General features: G+C 34.3%; 2 pseudogenes; both read left to right on the top strand.

Annotated features, from left to right (window-relative positions):
* On the top strand, positions 3,902–4,270 carry HNRNPA1P18 (heterogeneous nuclear ribonucleoprotein A1 pseudogene 18; annotated as a pseudogene).
* ELL2P3 (elongation factor for RNA polymerase II 2 pseudogene 3) lies at positions 16,232–17,553 on the top strand (annotated as a pseudogene).

Raw genomic sequence — 22,486 nt, 5'->3', positions numbered from 1 at the left:
GAGAAAAATATCAATAAAATTTCAAGTGAATTATTATTTTTAAAAATCTGTTATACATTCCTTTATTCTAGCCAGTCTCTCCCACTAACCATGAGTCCCTACATGATCCTCTGCCTTTCGTCTCCTGATATTGGGACTTAGATCACTTCTTTAAATATTTAAAAAGGAAAGATTGCCAAGGGATTATTAGTTCATTGGGCAAATAATTGATATGTATACTCTCAAGCTCGTGGCTCTCTCAAAGTGATTTTCTATGTGTGACAACTTTATCAACAATTTTTATTTTGAAGGCTAATGACTCTACACACATATTAAGAATACCTAATGAGACTCCTTTTGTGAAAATAAGTCTTCACGTTATAAAGATGAAATATAGGGACAAGCTTCTACATTTGCTGAACTGTTGATGACCTTTAATAATCGTGGTTACTCTCCTCATTTTATTCTAGGTTCATTAAGCTCAGTATGCTTTTAATGCATCACTCTAGTGTTTAGCAATTCATTTGTTCAACAAGGATTTGAGTGCTACTCCAAGCTCTAGTTGAGTGACTAACCAGCATAAGCTATTTTCTTTAGTTGAGGCCAGGAATTGAAATGTGTACTGACTTACAAAATAGACTAATATCGTTAAAGAATAAGTAGAGTATAAAAGAAAAGAAAAACCCATGTTTCAAAATTAATGAAAGTGTCAGGTAGTATGCTTAAAAATCTTTTTGAATAAAATTAATGTTGTTATAAACTTTCATATACTGTATCTAATTTTAAAAATAAAAACAATTTTAAAATTCAATAAATCTGAAAAAGCAATCAAAACAGTGCAGAGATCATTAGATAATGTCTACACATTTATCTCTGTAGATTTTTCAAATGTATTGACTTTTCTCCTGAGCTGATTAGAAATAATTTCAATTACATTGCTTCACAATAAATAACTGAGAATAAAATTTTTCTTATAGAAAACATTTCCTCTAGAATGACCTATTTTTCAATTACCCATGTTTCTTTATATTTACATAAAAATACTTTTAATTTTCATGAGATTTAAGAAAACGAATTCAATGTGCCAGGCATCCTTCCTAGAACTACAGATATATTAGTGAACAAAACAGCAAAACGCTTGCTTCTTGATGCTTACATTTCAGTTATAGTAGTCAGTGGATAATAAATACAATAATTAAGTTATATTCTATTAAGAAGTTGATGAATACCATAGGAAAAAAATAAAGAAGATAGTTGTAGACAAGAAAATAAAGCTGTGCCTGGAATCCCAGCACTTTGGCAGGCCGAGGCAGGCAGATCACCTGAAGTCTGGAGTTTGAGACCAGCCTGGTCAACACGGCAAAACCCCGTCTCTACTAAAAATACCAAAATTAGCCTGGCGGGGTGGCAGGCACCTGTAATCCCAGCTACTCGGGAGGCTGAGGCAGGAGAATGGCTTGAACCTGGGAGGTGGAGGTTGCAGTGAGGTGAGATCGCGCCACTGCCCTCAAGCCTGGGCAACAGAGCAAGACGCCATCTCAAAATAAATAAATAAATTAATTAATTAATAAACAAATAAATAAATAAGGCTGCTATGGAAAGAGGGTTTCAACAGCATACGATGGACAATATCAACTAAGACAAATATATCTATAGGTACCCTAAACATCAGTGTGAACTGACTTGTTTTTATTTTCTTCCCTTAATTCATTTTCCACCTCATTCTTTCTGGATTCTCCAGAAATTCATTTTCCTTCATGTATACGCCTATATACTCCTTATTAAAGCACCTGATTTGGACCTACATACCCCAGGAAGTATATCTGTGCATCCTTTTCCACCTGATAACCCCCACCAGCATTAGCTCAGACTCATTTGAATTTTTAATAAAATTAAATAATAATAATTTGTATCTTGACTCTAAGCGAATGCTTCCCCTTCACTTCCTTTCCCTATTTTGGGGGGGGTTTTCTTTCTCCATCACTCAGTATGTTTACATTATAAATTGACTATTAAAATTTTACCCATGCTGGCCGGACGCGGTGGCTCACGCCTGTAAGCCCAGCACTTTGGGAGGCCGAGGCAAGCGGATCACCTGAAGTCGGGAGTTCGAGACCAGCCTGACCAACATGAAGAAACCCCATCTCTACTAAAAATACAAAAATTAGCCAGGCATGGTGGTGCATGCCTGTAATCCCAGCTACTCGGGAGGTTGACGCAGGAGAATCGCTTGAACCCGGGAAGCGGAGGTTGCCATGAGCCGAGATCGCGCCATTGCACTCCAGCCTGGGCAACTAGAGTAAAACTCCAACTCAAAAAAAAAAAAAAAAAAAAAAAAAAAATTATCCATGCCAATACAGCACTCTTTGAGGCCTTTTCTCCTCTAGAAAAAACAGAAGAATCTCTGAATACCAAAGACTAATAGATAAATCACATCTTTTTTCTCTATCAGTTATTCACTGACTAACAAATGAAATTATAATTTCAAGTTTTGTGTTGTAGAAATGCTCATGTATATGGTGTGTGGGAAATAAGGATGCTTATTCATGTAATGCATATAATTGTTATGTATACAATATGTCACAGTATTATCTAAGCTATTTTATGTTAATGAGGGGTAATAAAACATTTCATAATTCCAGATCCATGCTTTCAGCTATTAAATTTTTTTTAAATTGTGAATTTCTTAGACCTCACTGAAAAAAAGCCATTTTTTATGACTGAAACAATTTGAAATCTTCCCTAATGTATAAAGGGTTAGTGGGAATTCATACTCCACAGTCACACTGCCACCTAATGGAGGAGGATAAAATGGAAATCAGACACTTGTTTCCCTTCCTTCAGTTCTTTATAAGTTTTTGGTTTTTCATTTTTGTTTTTGGATTTTGGTTTTGAGGATTTCTGTTTGTTTGTTCTCTGTTTTGATAAAAGAAGGACTGTCCTGCTTCCGAGTTAATGATTATCAGTTAAAGGGTCCAATTACAACAGCTCAGCAGTTTATTGACCTACACTTTAGATATCTTAAGGCCTTAATGGAGAGTTAAAATCTTCCAGGTGGTAAGGTTCCAATTATCTGAGATTTCTGGTCATAGATTTGCAAATTGGAGATGAAAGTTGCTCTGGGCAACTTTCTATATTATCCTTTTATCCTTGCATTTTCAGCAAACTGAATTTAGAAATGCTATATTTGGTTGCACTAAAATAATAGTAATTACATTTAGTTACATGAATAACAAGATTTATGAGATTATTTTTAAAGTAATAAATACTAATAGTCCATTGTCATTAAAAACGCTTCACTAAAATCCTACTACACATTTTACATTAATTATATCATCTAATTGTCAAAACACTCTGATTTTGTAATACTACTATCCCGTTTTTTTAGATTAAGCACTAAGGCTTAAAAGAATCAAGGAAAGCTATCAAACTCATACAACTAGTAAATATTTGATTCCCAACTACGGATCATAATATTTCCCATAGTTCAACTTGATAGCAATTATGATATTACTAAATATGTTAATTTCAGATTTTAAAGTAGAGTCTTACATTTATATTCTAACTTCCAATTCAACCTTTGTAACTAGCTTCCCAATCTTTCTATCTATCCAATCTATAAGAAGACAAATAGACCATAAACATTCAATTTAACATAAATGTCTAAAAGCCTCTCAAGATAATTTTTAATTAATAAAGATAATAGCATCTAAAAGAAAATATATGCCAGAGGAATATCCTGTAACTGTGGTATTATGAGATAGAATTTTTTAAATCAAAAATAATAAATTATTGCTAATACGTGGTTCACCTTTAAAAAATGGTAACCTGCCTAGTTGGAAAATATGATAGGAACTGATCCCCTTAGTATATAAAACCAAGATCCAAAAGGTATGACCAAAAAGTTAAACCTTTTGTAACATCCTTTCTGCCTGTGGACGCCACCAGGAAAGCATCGTTGTCTCTTTTCCACTGCTGTCATGTCTAAGTCAGAGTCTCCTAAAGAGCCTGGACAGCTATGGAAGCTCTACATGAGATAGTTTGAGGAGCCATTTTGAGCAAGGCAGAATGCTCACAGACTAGTATAAGAGTCAAACACCAAGAATTCCAGGGGCTTTGGGTTTGTCACATATGCCACTGTGGAAGAGGCAGAAGCAGCCATGAATGCAAGGACAGAAAAAGTGGATAGAAGAGTTGTGCAGCCAAAGACAGCTGCTGCCCTAAGACAAAATTCTCAAAGACCAGGTGTCCACTTAACTGTGAAAAAAGATCTTTGTGATCTTGAAGCAGAAATACCATTCAACCCAGCAATTCCATTACTGGGTATGTACCCAAAGGAATATGTCATTCTATTATAATGATACATGCATCCATATGTTCACTGCAGCACTATTCACAATAGCAAAGACATGGAATCAACCCAAATGCTCATCAATGATAGAATGGATGAGGAAAATGTGGTACATATACAACATGGAATACTATGCAGCCATAAAAAGGAAAGAGATCATGTCCTTTGCGGGGACATGGATGGAGCTGGAAGCCATTATTCTCAAGCAAACTAACACAGGAACAGAAAACCAAATACCGAATGTTCTCACTCATATGTGGGAGCTGAAGAATGAGAACACATGGACACATGGACGGGAACAACACACACTGGGGCCTGTTGGGGGTGAGGAGAACATCAGCAAGAATAGCTAATGGATGCTGCGGTTAATACGTAGGTGATGGGTTGATCTATGCAGCAAACCACCATGGCAAATGTTTACCTGTGAAACAAACTTGCACATCCTCTATATGTACCCCAGAACTTAAAATAAAAGTTGAAGCAAAAAAGATTCAATATGCAAAAACAAAACAAACAAACAAACAAAATAAACACCTAGAAATATTAGACCTTTATGAAAACATAAGTAGACTGAAAGACAATAAATGAGACAATAATTAGAAAAATCTATTGTGCTTATAAATGGGAAGATTCACTATCATAAATATTTCATTTCTCTTCATTTTGATAAATTTTATTTAAAAAGAAGATCTTTGTTGGTGGACATTGAAGAACATCACCTAAGAGATTACTTTGAATAGGATGGGAAAAATTGAAGTGACTGAAATCATAACTGACCGAGGTAGTGGCAAGAAAAGGGGTTTGCATTTGTTCATTTTGATGATCATAACTCCTTGGATAAGACTGTTATTCAGAAATACCATCCTGTGAATTGTCACAACTGTGAAGCAAGGAAAGCCCTGTGGAACCAAGAGGTGGCTGGTGTTTTACCCAGCCAAAGAGGTCGAAGTGGCTCTTAAAACTTTTCTTGAAGTGGCCGTGGAGGTGGTTTTGGTGGGTATGACAACTTTGGTTATCGAGAAAACCTCAGTGGTCCAGGTGGCTTTGGTGGCAGCCATGGTGATGGTGGATATAGTGACAGCAGGCTTGGCTATAACAGATTTAGTAATGGTGAGAGTAGTTTTGGAGGTGGTGGATGCTATAATGACTTTGGCAATTATAATAACCGATCTTCAAATTTTGGACACATGAAGGGCAGAAACTTCAGAGGCAGAAGCTCTGACCTCTATGATGGTGGAGGGTAATATTATACTTTGCCAAACTATGAGCCTAGGGTGGCTATGATGGTTTCAGTAGCATCAGTAGCTATGGCAGTGACAGAAGATTTTAATTACTGTCAGGAAACAAAGTTTAGCAGGAGAGGAGGGCCAGAGAAGTGACGGGGAAGCTACAAGTTACAAGATTTGTGGAGTCAGCCAAGCCCAGTGGTGGCAGGACCTCACTGCTACAAAGAAGACATGTTTTAGACAATACTCATGTGTATGGGAAAAAAAAAACTCAAGGAACTGTATTTGTGACTAATTGTATAACAAGTTATTTTAGTTTCTGTTCTATAGAAAGTGTAAAGCATTCCAACAAAGGGTTCTCATATATAATTTTTTTTGTCCCATGTTGTTGATTGCTAAACACAAAAGTCTGATCATGATGCTGAATATATGTATCTTGTTTTATAAGAAAGGTAAGACTTTCTTTTCTACTTTCAAACATAAACTATTTTTTAGTATCAATTCAGAACATACAACTTCCAGAACTTAGGAAGGACAAAGAAAAATATAATGTGATAACATTGAACCTGGTAGAATAGAAAACAGGTTAAACATCTCGCATTAGTAATCAAGCTGACGTTATCTTGGTGAAATCTAGACATTTCAAGAAAGAAAACAGTTTCAATAACCATTATAAATAAAAATGCAAATTATTTTAAAAAGCAGAAAACTCAAGGCTTGCTCCTTTCCACAAAAATAAGTGCCAGACATTAAGGATGCGATCTGAGACCTGAGAATTGTAATTATTGATAAAATGTAACTGAAGCAACAGAAAGCTATTTTTAAATATCTGAGGGCTCATAAATTAATGATACATGAAATATTGGGTGATGGGGACCTCCTCTGCTTTGCCTGTGTTCTAAAGGAAGTAGCATGTTTTAGGAAGAGCCGATTTTTGAAGCTAAGTTGGTAGAAGATATAAGAAAAGTAATGTTCTATACAACAATGGTTCCAAGAAACAGCGAAAATATTATGAAATGACATATAATATGGTTATTCCATTAAGTATGATGTTAGTCGTAATTTTCTTTGATGTACCTTATGAGGTTGAGGAACCTCCGTTCTATTCTATATTGGCCGGGAGTTGTGTTTTTTTTTTTTTTTTTAATCAGTAGTGGGCATTAAATTTTGTCAACAGTTTTCTCAACAACTATTGAGATGCTTTTCTGATTTTTAAAAGTCAGTTTGTTATTGCTTAGACAGTCCTTATTATATCCAAAAAATCTGATATTCTAGGTGAAGAATATGGGATAAAAGCTTCATTAATCAGGCCAATGGCACTGTCTAGCACATTTTCAGATTAGCTTTGTGAAAATATTATTTAAGTTTTTCCCCTTATATCTCAAATCCATTGGTGCCTACCAAATACATATGAATGCACATACTTTTAATGTTTTTTTTTTCCTTCCTGTTAGAGAGAGGCAATTTCTCAAATACGCCAGAGTGGTTCTTAACTCCAACTGTGATCAGGGTTTAATTTCTGAATTACACACCTGGATTCAAGGATTCATGTTGCCAGTTGTATAATAGTTAAAAATTTAGCAATTATTGATTAAATATTTTTTAGGACATTTAGGGCTACAGGAAACTCTGTTTAAAGAAAGAGTATTGCTTTAATAGAACTATTTTCCCATTTTAAATCAAAACTTCTCTCAACCTATTATATACATAAGTTTTTCTTGGAGAATGTATCTATGATGTACCTAGAAGCAAAGACTCTGTGGGGACAAAATATGTATGCTGCTGATCTGTAAGGATAGTTAGAAGAGGCAAGGCAAATTCATTCCCTATGCAATCCATTTCAGGTTTGGGAAGGAAAAATTTAAACACACATGCAAGAAAACTGCACTTGAAATATTCAGTTGTGTCTGTTATACTAATGATACCAAGTTTTATATATATATGTATATATATACACACACATTTCTAAAACTTTTTTGCCTTTTTCTTAATAATGTTGATATTTTTCTGTGTGTGAATTTCTATTTTTCCAAAATTTTTAAAACATAATTTCAAATATTCAAGGGAAATTTTTAAAACACACTGAATTCTTATCTGTCTGAAAGTGTCCCTTACTGTCAATGATTTATAGTCATCATAATTCTAGAATAATTTCATTTTAACGCAAGTTTTTCACCAAAAGAAGTGAAGTGAATGATGTCATTTAAAAATTGAGTTTCGGAATATTTTATTGAGAATTCTACATGAAAAATTAGTTATTTCTGCCTCCACTAAATAACTCAGCAATATATAATAAGCATTTCTGCTTAGCATTTTTGTTGTTGTTACTAAAAGCTAAGGTATTAAAATTTATGTCATGTAAGAATGTATAATCATTTAAATGGGAAAAACTGTTGTCTTTAGATAGATTATATTTTATTTTTAAACTATAAGGTACTTTGAAATCTACCATCATATTTAAGGTCTGTTACAGCATGTGGACAACAAGACCAGAATCTTTTCATATATATTATCCAATTAAAGTAACCACAGAATATTAGTCAGATATAACAAGTTCCCAGTATTCACAGCTATTGATGCAAATGTGACATTAGTAAGTGTGGAAAAAACTGATGAAGCAATCTGTGAAGATGCAAGAAATATTGTGGTAACAAGTTTTTTTCTTTGACTAAGGCTGCACTTTTTTTTAGTGCATAGAAACATTAAACTATTAATTATTTCTTAAACATTTAAAACTTTAACATATATACGTTTAAAAATCGAAACAAAAATTGGAAAATTATTGTCTAAGCATATGTACTCTGCTTTGTTAAGGGTTACAGATAGAGTTTTCTGGAAGGGATGATTTTATGTTTTCTTTACATGGCTTGTGGTCAGAGACTTCAGTATAAAATCATAACGTTCTATTCTAGAAAAATAAAATATCTGCAATCACTAAACCATGTCCATGTTTATATAGATTTTACTTCATGGCTTGAAAATATCCCTAGGAGGCAGTGCAATTTTTATCATTTACTTTTATAGCACCTCACCTTCTATTAAAAAAAAAAAAAACAGAGAAGAAAGTAATGATGAAATTGAGGACCAAGAATTTAAGATGTTGCTGATAAAATTTAGGTATCTCTACCATTCCTCAAATGTAATTATTCTCTACTATCTTTTAAGCAGTATTTTTCAATCTTTAATGCATGCTCCTCAGGTTTTCCACAAATGTTGCATTAATATTTTATATAATTATATAAAATATAAAAGTCATTTTTAAGCTTTTATTAAAGGATGTTTACTTCATAAACTGCTAATACTCTACTCTCCAAAGGTCAATTAATAGAACCTGACAGGTTAGTAAGTTTTGTTAAGTGTTCATATTCAAATTGTAAATCTGTGTGCCTCTGAACTTTACTGTAGATCCAAATTTGTTTGTTTGCTATGACGTCTGGCTGCCACACAATGTTTGGCAATATTGCAAGCCCACACATGTCCATACAATCAGGATGAAATTCCTTTAAATTTGGTATAGGATCCTAAGTTGTCTTGGGTTAGACATAGTTTTATAATCTTGCTTTAATTAGAAAATAAATTTATTAGAAAGTTATTGAGCTCATGAAATCATCAGGCAACATGGAGAACCAGGCATAAAAAAGGACAGAGCCAAATTATCTCTTATAAAAGACAGGAAATATTGTCAGTTTAAGCAAAGTGTTGCCACTGAAATGACCATCTTCAATTATTGTCCCTCTAATTTCATACTCAATAGCTCTTCTTTTATTCTTAGTAATAGGCTCTTACTTTTTGTGTTGAGATTCTTCACCTAAAAAAATTAAACATTTCCCATCCTTCTTTGTTTTTATTGTAATCACTAAACCATGTGTTGTAACTATGTTCTAGCTAATTCCACAACAATGGAAATGCTATAAAGAAAATCTTGGAAAACTTCTTAAAGGTTACTGTCTCAGCTATCTAGCACTTATCTGTTGTCCTCCTCGCCTTTTTCTGTGCTACTACCTGAAAGGCAAATGGGATGCCTGGGGCTCTATCCCTGATCCTGAAACATTATTGGGAAAGGAAGCCATGTGCTGGAGAGAGCATAGGAGAAGGAGAAAGAATCTGATTCCTGGGGTTTATAGAACCACCATGCCAGGCCCATTGTCTACCCCCAAACTGTTTTGATTTGAAATATATATCATTATGTCTTTAAGCCTTCTTTCCTTCGAGTTTCCTTTTCTAATTTTTTTTTCTTTAAGATACGTGTGCAGGTTTGTTACATGGATATACAGGGCAGGTTTTCTGATACATATTTAAACCTATATCGTGGTCAGGACTCCAGATTTCAAGAGACAAAGTCCAATTGTTACAGATTTTGTTAAGTGTCATTTCTTTATCTTGCTTATAATAAAAACTCCTTTCTTTAGAGTCCCACTTAAAGCAAACATAATTGGGGAGAGATAACATGTCAAATGAAGTTGATGAAGTTGTCAGGCTCTTAACATAAGATGGGAATGGATGCTTCATAGGCCAAATAATAATCAACATCCACTACACACACACACACACACACACACACACACACACACGCACACCCACACAGGCACACATGTCTTTTTCAGGGAAACTAAAACTTACACACTGTCATTTGAGTGTTACCTCTAAGTTATTTTTAAATGAAAGACAGGGAATTGATCAAATGAGACAGCCTTAGCATAATTTGATTGCCTAAGTGGTTGTTAGTCAAATACTTTGAAAGGAAACATATAAGAATGTCTTGATTATGAGCAATGGTCTAGAATCAAATGGAGCTGGTTTCACATCACAGTTCAACTATTCACTCAGTATTTACATAATTGGTAAGCTATGTAAGTATCTTTGAAATTATAATTTCTACAAATAAGCTCCTATTTGTTAGAGTTGTTATGAGGATTAAATAAGATGATGATATATTATTGTCAGTTAGGTAACTATTTGCAAGTAAGAGAACCCCACTTGAGTTATATTATGAAATATATAACAAAAAGTATTTTACTGTATATTAGAAAATTCACAAAAATTTGGAGGACAAAAGATTTAGGACCACAGACTACAGATTGTAAGGACAAATAAAGACTTAAAATAAGAGGCTTACTTCTCTCTTTTGAAAATAACAAAAGACACTTTTTTCCCTCCATTTTTCTGAGAGCATTTACCTTAGAAAACTTTTAATTAAGTACATTTTCCTCTCTCTGAAACACGCATAATTCCATTTGAAAATTACAAGGACTCAGAAACAGAAATGTAAATATCAGGGAAGATAGCAAACTTATCTCCCAGTCTCTGTGGCAGGATAGGAGCCTAACTTTAAGGGAAGACTTGCTCTAAGTTGCAAAATTACTTCGTTTTATCAAGATATAACAACTTAGTTTTTCCTCTGTATAAAGCCAATTAGCTAACACAGATGAACACCCAAATTACCAGGTGAATCTAGGATAAATGACATAGGGCCAATGGCGTGTTCAAGTCCTCCTCCTTAAAGACTAGTAATAGTTTATCTTGACAACAAGTATGTGATGGGTTTTATCTGCTTATTTATGTAAAAGGATGAGATTTCTTTCTGTTTTTGCAATCTCTTAGCGATTATCTGTTATGGGCAACACATTCTGGTTGAAGGATTATTTAATAATAAAACTGCTTTCTTTCTTTACTACCTTTATCAAGAGGTTTTCTGGTTAGTAGAACATTTTGTTTTAATTATATTTCCCCAATGATTTACAGAAATAAAAATATACATGATGAGATTCAGCTGACAGTGCTAGTGAGCCAAGAGTCTCAGTTTGCACCATTGATACTGGGTATGAGCTAATTCTGCTACCACCTCGGGCATCACTGCCTCAAAAGAAGAATACTTCTGTCATACTTTGCTACACTCACAAGAGGGAAATGATTGAGTATCTGCTGTTGTAACTATTCTATACAAGCATCTTGAACAAATACATCTAACTAGAGAAGTATAATTTGCATTGCTGAGCTGTAGATGCAAGGAAAACTGGAAAAATGAGTTTTAGCTTCTTAACTTGAGGAAGCCACAGAAAATGTAGCAGATAAAGGTGCTGTCTTTCCGAAAAAAAAAAAAAAGTGTCTTCTAATGCTCACTCCTTGATTGTAAAATAAAAATATCTGCCATTCTTTGCATTTACACTTTCAGGCAACAATAACGACAAAAATAACTACAAAAATTAAACCAGGCTAAAAATTGAGCTAATACATATCTACAAATTATATTGACAATTCAGTGCCACCTTTAGGCCACTTCTTCCTTTATTTGTACTGGCAGGGAAATGTCAACAAGTGAAACAACCTTGGGAATTAGGTACTGGGAGTAGAATGACCACCCCATTAGGCCTGGACTACTAACTCTAGACTGTTACATGTAAGAGAAACTTTAACTTCTTGTAAGGCCATTATAGATTAAGTTATTTTTATTGCAACAGCATAACACATATTCCAACCAATAGTTTGTTGTTGCTGTAATGAAAACCGTAAAATGTGTAACATTTAGTTAGTGTTTAAGCACTAGTGTTGTGATGTAGCAGATATCATAGCCTGAAAACGCAGCAAACAAAATTGGAAATTTTGCAGGTTAGAATTATGTCCAGAAAGGATCTTTGTGTATTTATTCTTTCACATGATTTATTGAAACAAATAATTCAAGAGTTATTTATTTATCTATTTTTAGGAAAGCACGTTGTTAAAGAAACCACAGTATAGAAAACAGAAGCATACAATTATTTAATTCTTAAAGTATGCCTCAGTCATCCAAACCTACAGCAGCAGGAAGTGTGTTATGAATATTATGAAGTTCCAGGAAAAGCACACTTTTTAACACCCACTTTAAATATGATCATGAAGGACAATAGGTAAGAAAGACCCAAACAGTGGAAAAAAATCCAGGTACCGTAAATGATAAAATGCACAGAGAAGTTATTATAAAGCATTACTCTGGGCTGCCTATGGGGCCACCAAGAAGCAACTCCACTACTTGTGAATTGCACTCTTAGATCCAATCATGGAGGGCACTGCCCGGATCCCTGGGCTTCAGAAGCCCTATGTATTGATCTCTCTCTCTCTCTCCTCAACACAAGATGTAAAAAAATATAATGAAACACTCACATAAAAAGGAAACTTTAGCCAATGACAAATATCAAAGTTGATTTTGAATATTCAAGTTATGTCTTTGAACTCTTGCTTATTGTGAATATTACTAGCAAAAGATTACAAAATAGATTTATGTTTCGCTATTCTACTTTTAAATACTATTTAATAATTTAGAAAAAATAGTTTGGCTAAATCAAAAGAAAGCATATGTAAAGTATTCAACAAGCGTGATGGCTCAATATAATATCTCTAAGAGAGCTTAAAACAAGGAAATAAAAATATGAAAGTGAAAAGATTCATATGCAAATAAACCTTTAAAAGTTATATAAAGATTATTTGTAGGACCACAATAATTCAAGATGCAGTCTTCATTGAAGAGGGCATAAAAGTAATTAAGCAACATATTATTATTTTCATTTTTCTTTAAAATATCCTAGCAGTGAATATTTTGAATGAAAAATAATATAAGAAATATAGCATGGCTCTCAATGTTCATTTAAGAATCATTATATAAGAAAAAGTAATTTATATGATAGATTCAAATATTTTTGAAATTTTTCTGCAATGTTGAGACATAATTTAAACACATGGAAAAGTCATGTTACAGTTCTGTATATAAATATGGTTCTATAAATTTTATTAATAATTTCAGTTGCTACTGACTCAGCAAAGAGACATTTTTTCCCAACTTGATTTTAATCCAAAACTGCAATCTGAAGTGTTTCAAGAAGAGTTGTCTAACAAAGCACACTGCCAACAGAAAACATTTATGAAATTAGATTGTCATCCAAACATCAGTGATCCATTAACAGAACACCCAAACTTGTACATTAATACTGTACTTACACTTTGTAGTTCTAATAAGTAACTGACCTTCAACATTACAAAGGTTATTGATTTGCATTTTTAAACATTTTGTTGTGTATTTTTCAAGTTAGGGCCATGGGACATATTTTATTTAACAATTAGCACTATATATAACTTTTAAATAATTGCACAGCAAAACTATATATAACAGCACAGCATATATAAAATAATTATATATGATTAGATATGTGGTCTTCCTTTTGTACTCGTGTCCTAGACCCAACAAATTTTCAGGTTCTGTTTAACCATTTCAGGCATTATTCAAAATCCCTGACAAGCAATATTTTATAAATGGCTGTGTGTTTCCATTTTCTAGTTTATAATGAGAGCATTCATTGCAGTTATCCTGTTCCTACTTCTTTTTAAATATTGAGTTAGAAAAGAAGCAAGATAACTTAGTAAGTTACAGTAGCTGGATTTCAAAAAGCCACATCCACGTGCAAGAGAGACAACTTAGCCTTGTGCAGATATCCCAGACTTCCAACCAAATGCATTAGCTGAATGAGATTTCGGACTGTCTCCCTTAGAGAAAGAATAAGTGTGCTCAAGGTGAGGGAGATGTGGAATGAAGTAAAAGCTGATTAACAGCCTCCCAGTATCCATTCTCCAATTCATTCTTTTAGTTATAGAATCCTGGATCTTTCCTCACACCTTTGGGTACCCAGTTAGAATTTCATTCCTTTGGACCACTGGCTAAATATGCACCGGGGGAAGTGAGTGAAGAACATTGCCATCTTGTCTTTATAGATTATAACCCTAGATGCTCTCTTTCTCCCTTCCCTGCTGCAGATAATACTTGAGTGATTTGCTGGGATTGGTGATGTCTGGAGAAATCACAACAGCCTTGTGTTGAGAATGACAGAGCTGGCCTGTCGGCCCTGGACTGCTTCCCTCTACATCAAGTCGGCAAACTACAGCCTGCAAGCATAATCTTGCCTGCTGCCTGTTTTTGTAAATAAAGTGTTATTGGAATACAGCCATGTTCATTTATTTACTTATTGTCTACTGCTATTTTCATGCTACAACAGCAGAGCTGAATATCTGTAGCAGAAACCATATGTCCTTTAGAGAAAAACTTTGCTGGCCTCTGCTCTATATTATTAAATAAAAAGAAATACATTTTGTACACATCATTATATCCTGAGTATCTTTGTCTAATGATTATTTAGCATTTATCCAAATTAATGCAGTCACTACACATGAAAAAAAATTATGTCATAACTGAAGAGTATCTAATAAACTAGTTTTCCCAAAAAAAGCACAGAATTGGAACATAATTTAATGGAAGTTTTAAAATACTCTGGGAAGGCTAGAAGGTTAGAAGCCATGAAGGCTACTGTGTGATAGGTGCTATTTGTTGCAAGAAATATGCCACTGTTTAATAGCTGTTATAATTCTGGATACTAGCACTGTGAGAAAGTTTTCTCATAGAATTTGTTTATGCAACTAAAAAAATGAAAGTGTATTAAGCTTAATATCTGAAATACTCCAGAAATGGAATATTGCCTAATATCACTGCTAAATCAAATCAGAAAAATTAAAGACAATGGTATCAACAATGTATGCCTGTCTAGCAAAGTTTATCAGAGTTCTTAGGAATTTGCTACAATTATTCAAAAAATGATTTAAGATAAATAATTTAAAGAAAAGGAACTTATTATAGAGTAACACTTAAGTGAATTTCTGCTTGATAGTTCAGGTAGAGTGTATGACATGAATATTTCTCAATAACCATTCTTGTTATGTACAAATTTATATTTTCTAATATGACTTAGGTTGTTCAAAAGATTTATGGATTATAGTCCTCCAGCGATCAACTAGAATTATATTTATTTTATTTTGGAGACAAGGTCTTGCTCTGTCACCCAGGCTGGCCTGCAGTAGTGAGATCTTGGCTCGCTGCCACCTCCACCTCCTGGACTCAAGTGATCCTCCCACCTCAGCTTCCCGAGTAGCTGGGACTACTGGCATGTGCCACCATATCCCGCTAAGTTGTATATTTGTTGTAGAGATGGGATTTTGCCATGTTGCCCAGGCTGGTCTTGAACTCCTGGACACAAATGATCCACCTGTCTTGGCCTCCCAAGGAGCTGGGATTACAGGTGTGAGCCAGCACACCCAGCCTAGAACTGTTTCTTTAAATATATTCAGGTTCATTGACTCAAAAAGAAAACATCTATTGATTAAGAAAGATTTAGATTATTTCTAGAAAGAATTGTTAAAACAATTGCCATGTATAAATATTTGTGCCTTTTTAAATATCTGTGTACTCTAGAAGGAAACTATCTTGAAGTTGTTGAGGTTTGTTTGCTTGTTTTCTTTCTCAAAATTAACCAAACCAGCAGCACACCAGCTGTAGCTGTGGCAGTAGCTGGAAAAGCCACAATGGAGCTGGAGCAGGTAGGGCTGGAGAATTTAGATGATGACAATGAGGTGAGGTGGGGAGCCTGTGGGAGGAGTAGTGCCACAGGTGACAGCCATGACATCTCCACTTTGCATGTGAAGCTCATCCAAATGGTGACCCCAGCATAGGAAACTCATCAGAGCCACAAGAATTTAATTCCAAGCAGGAAGACTTTAATTCATAAGAACTGACTTGAGATTCAGTTAGAAGAAGGAAAAGTGGTTGAAAAAAGGGTGAAATTTTGGAGAACCTATTCTAAATACAGTGCCTAAGAGTAAAATATTTTCATCCATGAACCCTGCAAATACAATTCAGAACACATGTGAACAGCAGTCCTTGTCAGCAGCTATCCAGAAGGGGATGCACTTACACACTGCAGGCCAGCAAGACATCTGAGCTCCTTGCTCCACTGCAGAGAACAGCACCATTCCAAAAGACAAGATCCTCCTCAGAACAATTCTATAACAAATAGCCAGCTGGAATTCTAAGGATCTTTCATATACTTTAAGATGTTATGTTTGTTTTTAAAGAGATTCAAAGAGACTAGCCTGGATACAATAACAAAGACAGTCATAGGAGTTTCTGATCTCTAGAAAACTAAATGTGTCTCAGGGTGATGAGACAGCAGCCATTCAGAAGCCCTTACATGTTCTAGTAGAGATGCTGTATATATATATGTTCCTCCTCAGAAATGGCTTTTGGATTCAGATTTAATTCATTCTTTAAGAAATGAAAAAGTTTAATTACTTCACTTCAAATTGAGAATACAATTAATATTAAATGGTCATTTAAATCTTACTAGTGAAAACTTTGCTGCAGGTCTCTCTGCTCCTCACAGCTGCTGACATTCCCATGCCTCCATCTGTATCTTCAACCCACCTGTCCATCTCAAAGCTTCCTCTGATTGTAAATTTTAACTCCAATTCCCTCACCACTATAAAAGGCCAGAGGACACAAAGCCTACCTGCTAACAGTTTTAATCAAAATGATATCATCTCTGAGGACCAGCAAGACATACTTCTAGAACTTCACTGAAAATTTACTTTCTGATTCAATCCTACTAAAGCATCCAAAGCCTCTATGAGAAAACCATTTAACGTCTCACATAAATTCTAAAACAAAATCTAAAAAGATTTAAAAAAAAAAACCTAAGGAAAGAAATCAAATAAAAAAGGCTGATCTTGAAACTACTGAGGAAAAGGAGGAGGTCTTTAAAAGGGAAGAAAAAGTTGCAAATGAAATACTTGCAGTCTGAATTCCAATGAAACATTTGCTTCCATGGAGACTTCATTAAAAATTGAAATCCCAGATTATTTGATAAAATATATTGCCATGGTCTCCCATGAGCAACATCAGAATTACAAGGATGACTTCAGTGCTGAGTTTGATAAGTGTGAGTCCTTGCATACCAGGGTGGAGACTACAGCTGGAAGATTTATTATTCTTGCCACACAAGGAAAGCACCTTCCTCCAGTTCAAAAGAGTGTCAGACTGTTCATGAAGTCTTACAAGAACATGAAAAGATCAAGCAGCCTAGTCACAATTATGATGAAGAAAAATACATGTATCTTCATAACAAAGTGGCTCAGACTACAAGACAAATACATTGATTTGAACAAACAACAAGCAGGTCATAGCCATGGCAATCTTCGGCTTTTCCTAGAAGATGTGAATACATTCAAGCTTATTTATTTCATATTAAAAAAACTTGAAATGCTAAGCAAAATTACATAAACCAAATTCATGTGTTTCAAAATATTATTTTATAAATCTGTTGACACAAGTGGATTTTATGTTTAAATAAATTTTACAAACAAAATATCAACTGGCTCTACTTTTATGGCTGAATAGCTGAGATGCAAAACATCTCAGACATCATCTATGTAAAATAATCAAAATAAGCTCGAGATAAACACTTTGGAGATTATTCAAAGATATATGGCAAAAAAGGATTCTACCAGGAAAATAGTTCATTGAGAATAGCATATGTCTTATTTATAAAAAAATTCATATGAATTCTTCACTAACAAGATAGTATAATAACATTGCATCAGATATAAATGTATCAATAGAAACACATAGATATACAACTTATTTTTACTTTTAGGCTGAATCACAAAAAGATTGAAAATATCCTGGCAGAGATACAATAATAGCAGGATTATTTTAGATAATTTGAATTAGCTGTTAATGCCTAGTGTGACAATAATCTAATAATCTTATTTCTCCTATCAGAAGTTTTCAACTATATATATATATATACACACATATATATATATTAATCTTCATTATTTTGGCAATATTTATTTCTTACTCCATTACTTTAAAATTTTATGAGAAGCATTAAAACATTCTTTTAGTAAAGGGAGTTATGGAATCCAGAGATGTTTTCATAGGACAGTGATCTCTCTTACACTTAAAACACTTTTACCAATGTTTAGAGCAGCACGGAAATCCTTTTCCGAAGCATGAAAAAAAGTATTATTAATGAAACAAGTTCATACAGGAGGTTATTTCTGCACAATGATCCATACTAGCATAAGGCCGTTGGCACAGCTAAGTAACCCCTAAAAGATTACTAAACGGCACATACTTTATAAAAATAGTTTAAAATGTAGAAAAATTTTAAGATGGAATATTATAATTAGAACACAATGTTTTTATACATGATACAGCTGCATTATATGCATAGCAGGATAGTCATGAGTGAGAATAAAAGAGGTTTTCAGAAACAGTTTATGATAAAAGAAATGAGAAGTGACAACACAATTTTTGATTTTCAAAATTCTAAAAATTAGACTATAAATGGCCTTTATCTTTGGTTTGGAAAAAATAACTGGTTGGCCTTCATGAATATAAAAATAAAACTAAAAATACCATTATTAATGAAAAGTTTGCCTCAAATAGTTAAATGTTTCTGCATGACATATAAAATTATAATAACTATAGGCAGAGTTTCATCTCAACAAATCGTATTCCAAAATATTTATTTTAAAATTAAAATTAAAATAATGTTGTAACTTTTTTTTACAATTTAAGCAAATTTTCACAAACCAAAAGCACAGACCCCTAATGATTGAAGTAATATATGAAGCTCCTTCACTTTTTGCTGAACAAGATATTGAAAATGAACTCAAATGAGCTGGAGGCAGATGAAGGGAGAAATGATTTATATGCCCCACAGGTTGTGCGATCTCAGATGAAGTAATCCAGCCCCTGGATCACACTGAAAGTGCTTCAAGATGTTCTTTTGTTTTTAAGGGGTTAAAGGAAAACCACACTCTTCAAGAATGAGGGAAATGTCTCTGCCATGCTGGGTATAGGTCATAAGATGGAAGAGGGTTCTTATCTCCGGAAAAGTGAGACTAGGCTGAGACACCGGCAAAGGCTAACTTTGTGTAGCTCATGAAGATTATCAACAGCAGAGGCAGAAGCAGGGTATCAGGATGAGAATGTTTAACTTTTAAGCTACTATTCTGACCAAGCATAACCTAAAACATACAGTAGTTTTCTTAAATGCCTGACAAATACATAGAGTGATTATTTTCCAGCAATTAAGGGATGCGTCTCTGCACATCGAGTATTTGAAAATTATATTGCAATGTGACCTTCATTTATTCAGAAGGCTAGTGACCAAGGCACTGATTGTCCTGTCTCACAAATTTCATCTCAGCATTATCCCTTTCCAATCTAGGGGCTCACCTGTTTTTCTGTTTGTGTTCCAGGAAAGTTTTAAAAATGGATGTCACTATTGTTGACAGAAAAAACAATGACTATGAGTATCATAGTGGCATAAGAAAGATTTATTATAAGAATTAGGGGTGGCAGATATGATACAAGATGCCCAGCAAGAACAAGTAAGTTTGCTTGTATTAATATGTCCCACCTGTTGCATGAGACATGCTACACTTATACAAAAAAAATTTGGTCTTTTTCTAAATTTTAATTTGATATTTTGTGTTTTTACTTGATACATCTGGAAATCCTAATAAACATGCCTCAGAAATACTTTCCCATAAGTATAACATAGTGTCTTCCAAATATTTTCACAACGTGACATACAGAATATAGTATACATCCAGCACATTTTGGAAATGGGAGAAGATGCCTGTCTATAGAGATAGCAAGCATGGAGCTCTAGCTATTCCAGCACTGAAGCACACCTATAAGACATCACAGTCCATTGTACACAGGTAAGACTCTGCTCTCATGGATACAGAATACATTACTGGCGTAAAGAAATATGACTTGTTTTACATACCTAATAACTTATTTTCAATTCATGGAACGTCAACTCTGAGAGCTTACATATTTAGACTACATTTGTAGACTCACATATTTTCAGATATTTTTCTCTCATCACCTCATGAAAAACTTAGTGATATGGTTTGGCTGTGTCCCACCCAAATCTCATCTTGAACTGTAATCCTCATAATCCCCACAAGTCGAGGGAGGGACCTGGTGGGGGGTGATTGGATCATGGGGGTGGTTCCCCCATGCTGTTCTCATGATAGTGAATGAGTTCTTACAAGATCTAATGGTTTTATAAGCATTTGGCAAGTTCCTGCTTCGCTCACTCTTCTCTCTCCTGCCACCATGTGAGACAGTCCAAGCTTGCTTCTCCTTCGCCTTCTGCCATGATTTTAAGTTTCCTGAGACCTCCCCAGCCATGCAGAACTTTGAGTTAGTTAAACTTCTTTCCTTGATAAATTACCTAGTCTTGGGAAATTCTTTATACCAGTGTGGAAACAGACTAATACACTTAGGAAGGTATTTTAATAAAGGGAATGTAATTTTTGTAATCAAACACATTGAAGCTGGAATTTTAATTCTTTTACCTACCAACTGTGTCACCTGGGAGAAATACATGTAACCTATTTTGGACTGTTCCTTTATCTTCAGCAGTACATAATAATAACCTAATATGGAAATATTCAAAATATATGTAAAATCACACATGTAATGGCTAATGCAGGCACTCAAAATTGAATGATATTTTCACTACATTCTGTGGCATGGCTTTCTAAGTAGAGGTAGCTTTGTTTGAAAGGTTTTATGCCACGATAGAATGACTCCTTTCCTGATGTTGGGCACAGAATATAAATTCAAACTCTTAGATTAAAAATATTCATATGAATTTCCTGATGAAGATGGGTCCTGTAAAGTCTTCACTGGATTAAAACAATTTCTCAGATTTCCCTCTTTGGGCATATTATACTACTATCTCCCTAGAGTTACTTTTACTGAAAGTACTTGGGATAATGCCATTGGCTTTCAGTGAGGGCTAGTATCAGAAGCAGATTGTTAAATGCATGAAAGCTTTTGCGAATCCTATTTATTATATAAACTCCACTCTGTGAGGACCCTTGAGGGATATCTATCTACCTATCAAATATATAGATATATGTGTGCATATATATATATATAGATATATGCTGTAGATATATGGCATATGTAGTATATATGTATACATTGTTTGCACATATTTAGTTTTTATGTGTGTATGTGTATATATATGTGGGGTAATTATGTTCAATGAAAACACTTGTTCAGTGGGGTGTAGTGGCTCATGCCTGTAATCCCAGCACTTTGGAAGGCTAAGGTGGGAAGAGTGTCTGAGCTCAGGAGTTCGAGACCAGCCTGGGCAACACGGCAAAACCCCATCTCTAATAAAAATATAAAAAATTAGCCAAGCAGCGGTGGCACATGCCTGTAATCCCAGCTACTAGAGAAGCTGAGGCATGAGAATCGCTTGAACCCAGGCGGCGGAGATTGCAGTGAGCAGAGATCATGCCATTTCACTACTTCAACCTGGGCAACAGAGCAAGTTCTGTGTCCTAAAAACAAAACAAAAAAAAAAAAAAAAAGAAAGAAAAAGAAAACACTTGTTTTACCTTAGTCTACATTTCCTTTATAGATAGTGTAAATCACATAACTAATTATGTCCTCAAGTTTGTGTCGGCATTTAGAAAGCATGGGGCATATACATGAAGATTGTGAGAGTAATTTAGAGTTGTGTTCCAATATATGTCATCTTTCATCTGTAATGATGGGATATTTTTCTGGACACATAGGCTACCAGAATAAATATTATATTATTTTTCCTAGCCTCACTGAAAGTTAGATGTGGCCATGTAACTGGAGCTAATGTCATCATGTAGTTTATGTGGACATTTTTGGAAGGGAAGAACCCTGAGGACTCTTGCTGCTTCTATCACTGCTCATAAAATGGATGCTGCTACCTTGGCTTATGAAAATGAGGTATGTAACCTGAAGATTATGGAATAATAAAAGAAAATGAGCCTGAGCCTAGGTCCCTGACTACTTTGTAGCATAGAGTTGCGGTATAAGCTCTGGACTGCATCCATCCCAATGACTGTGTGAGTAAGAACAAAACTTTCATCTTCTTTAAGCTACTGTTATTGCAGAGTTTTTTCCTGATAAAAAAATCAACTTATAATTATGATCCTAAATAACTCTATAGAGATCTGGCTCTGTCTCTTTTCCAACGAACACATTGAAACATTTGCCTTTAAA

This window comes from Homo sapiens, chromosome 13, assembly GCF_000001405.40.
Source record: "Homo sapiens chromosome 13, GRCh38.p14 Primary Assembly".
In the NCBI taxonomy this organism is placed as follows: domain Eukaryota; kingdom Metazoa; phylum Chordata; class Mammalia; order Primates; family Hominidae; genus Homo; species Homo sapiens.
Note: the sequence above shows the minus strand (reverse complement) of the source record. Positions and strands in the feature narration are given on the sequence as shown.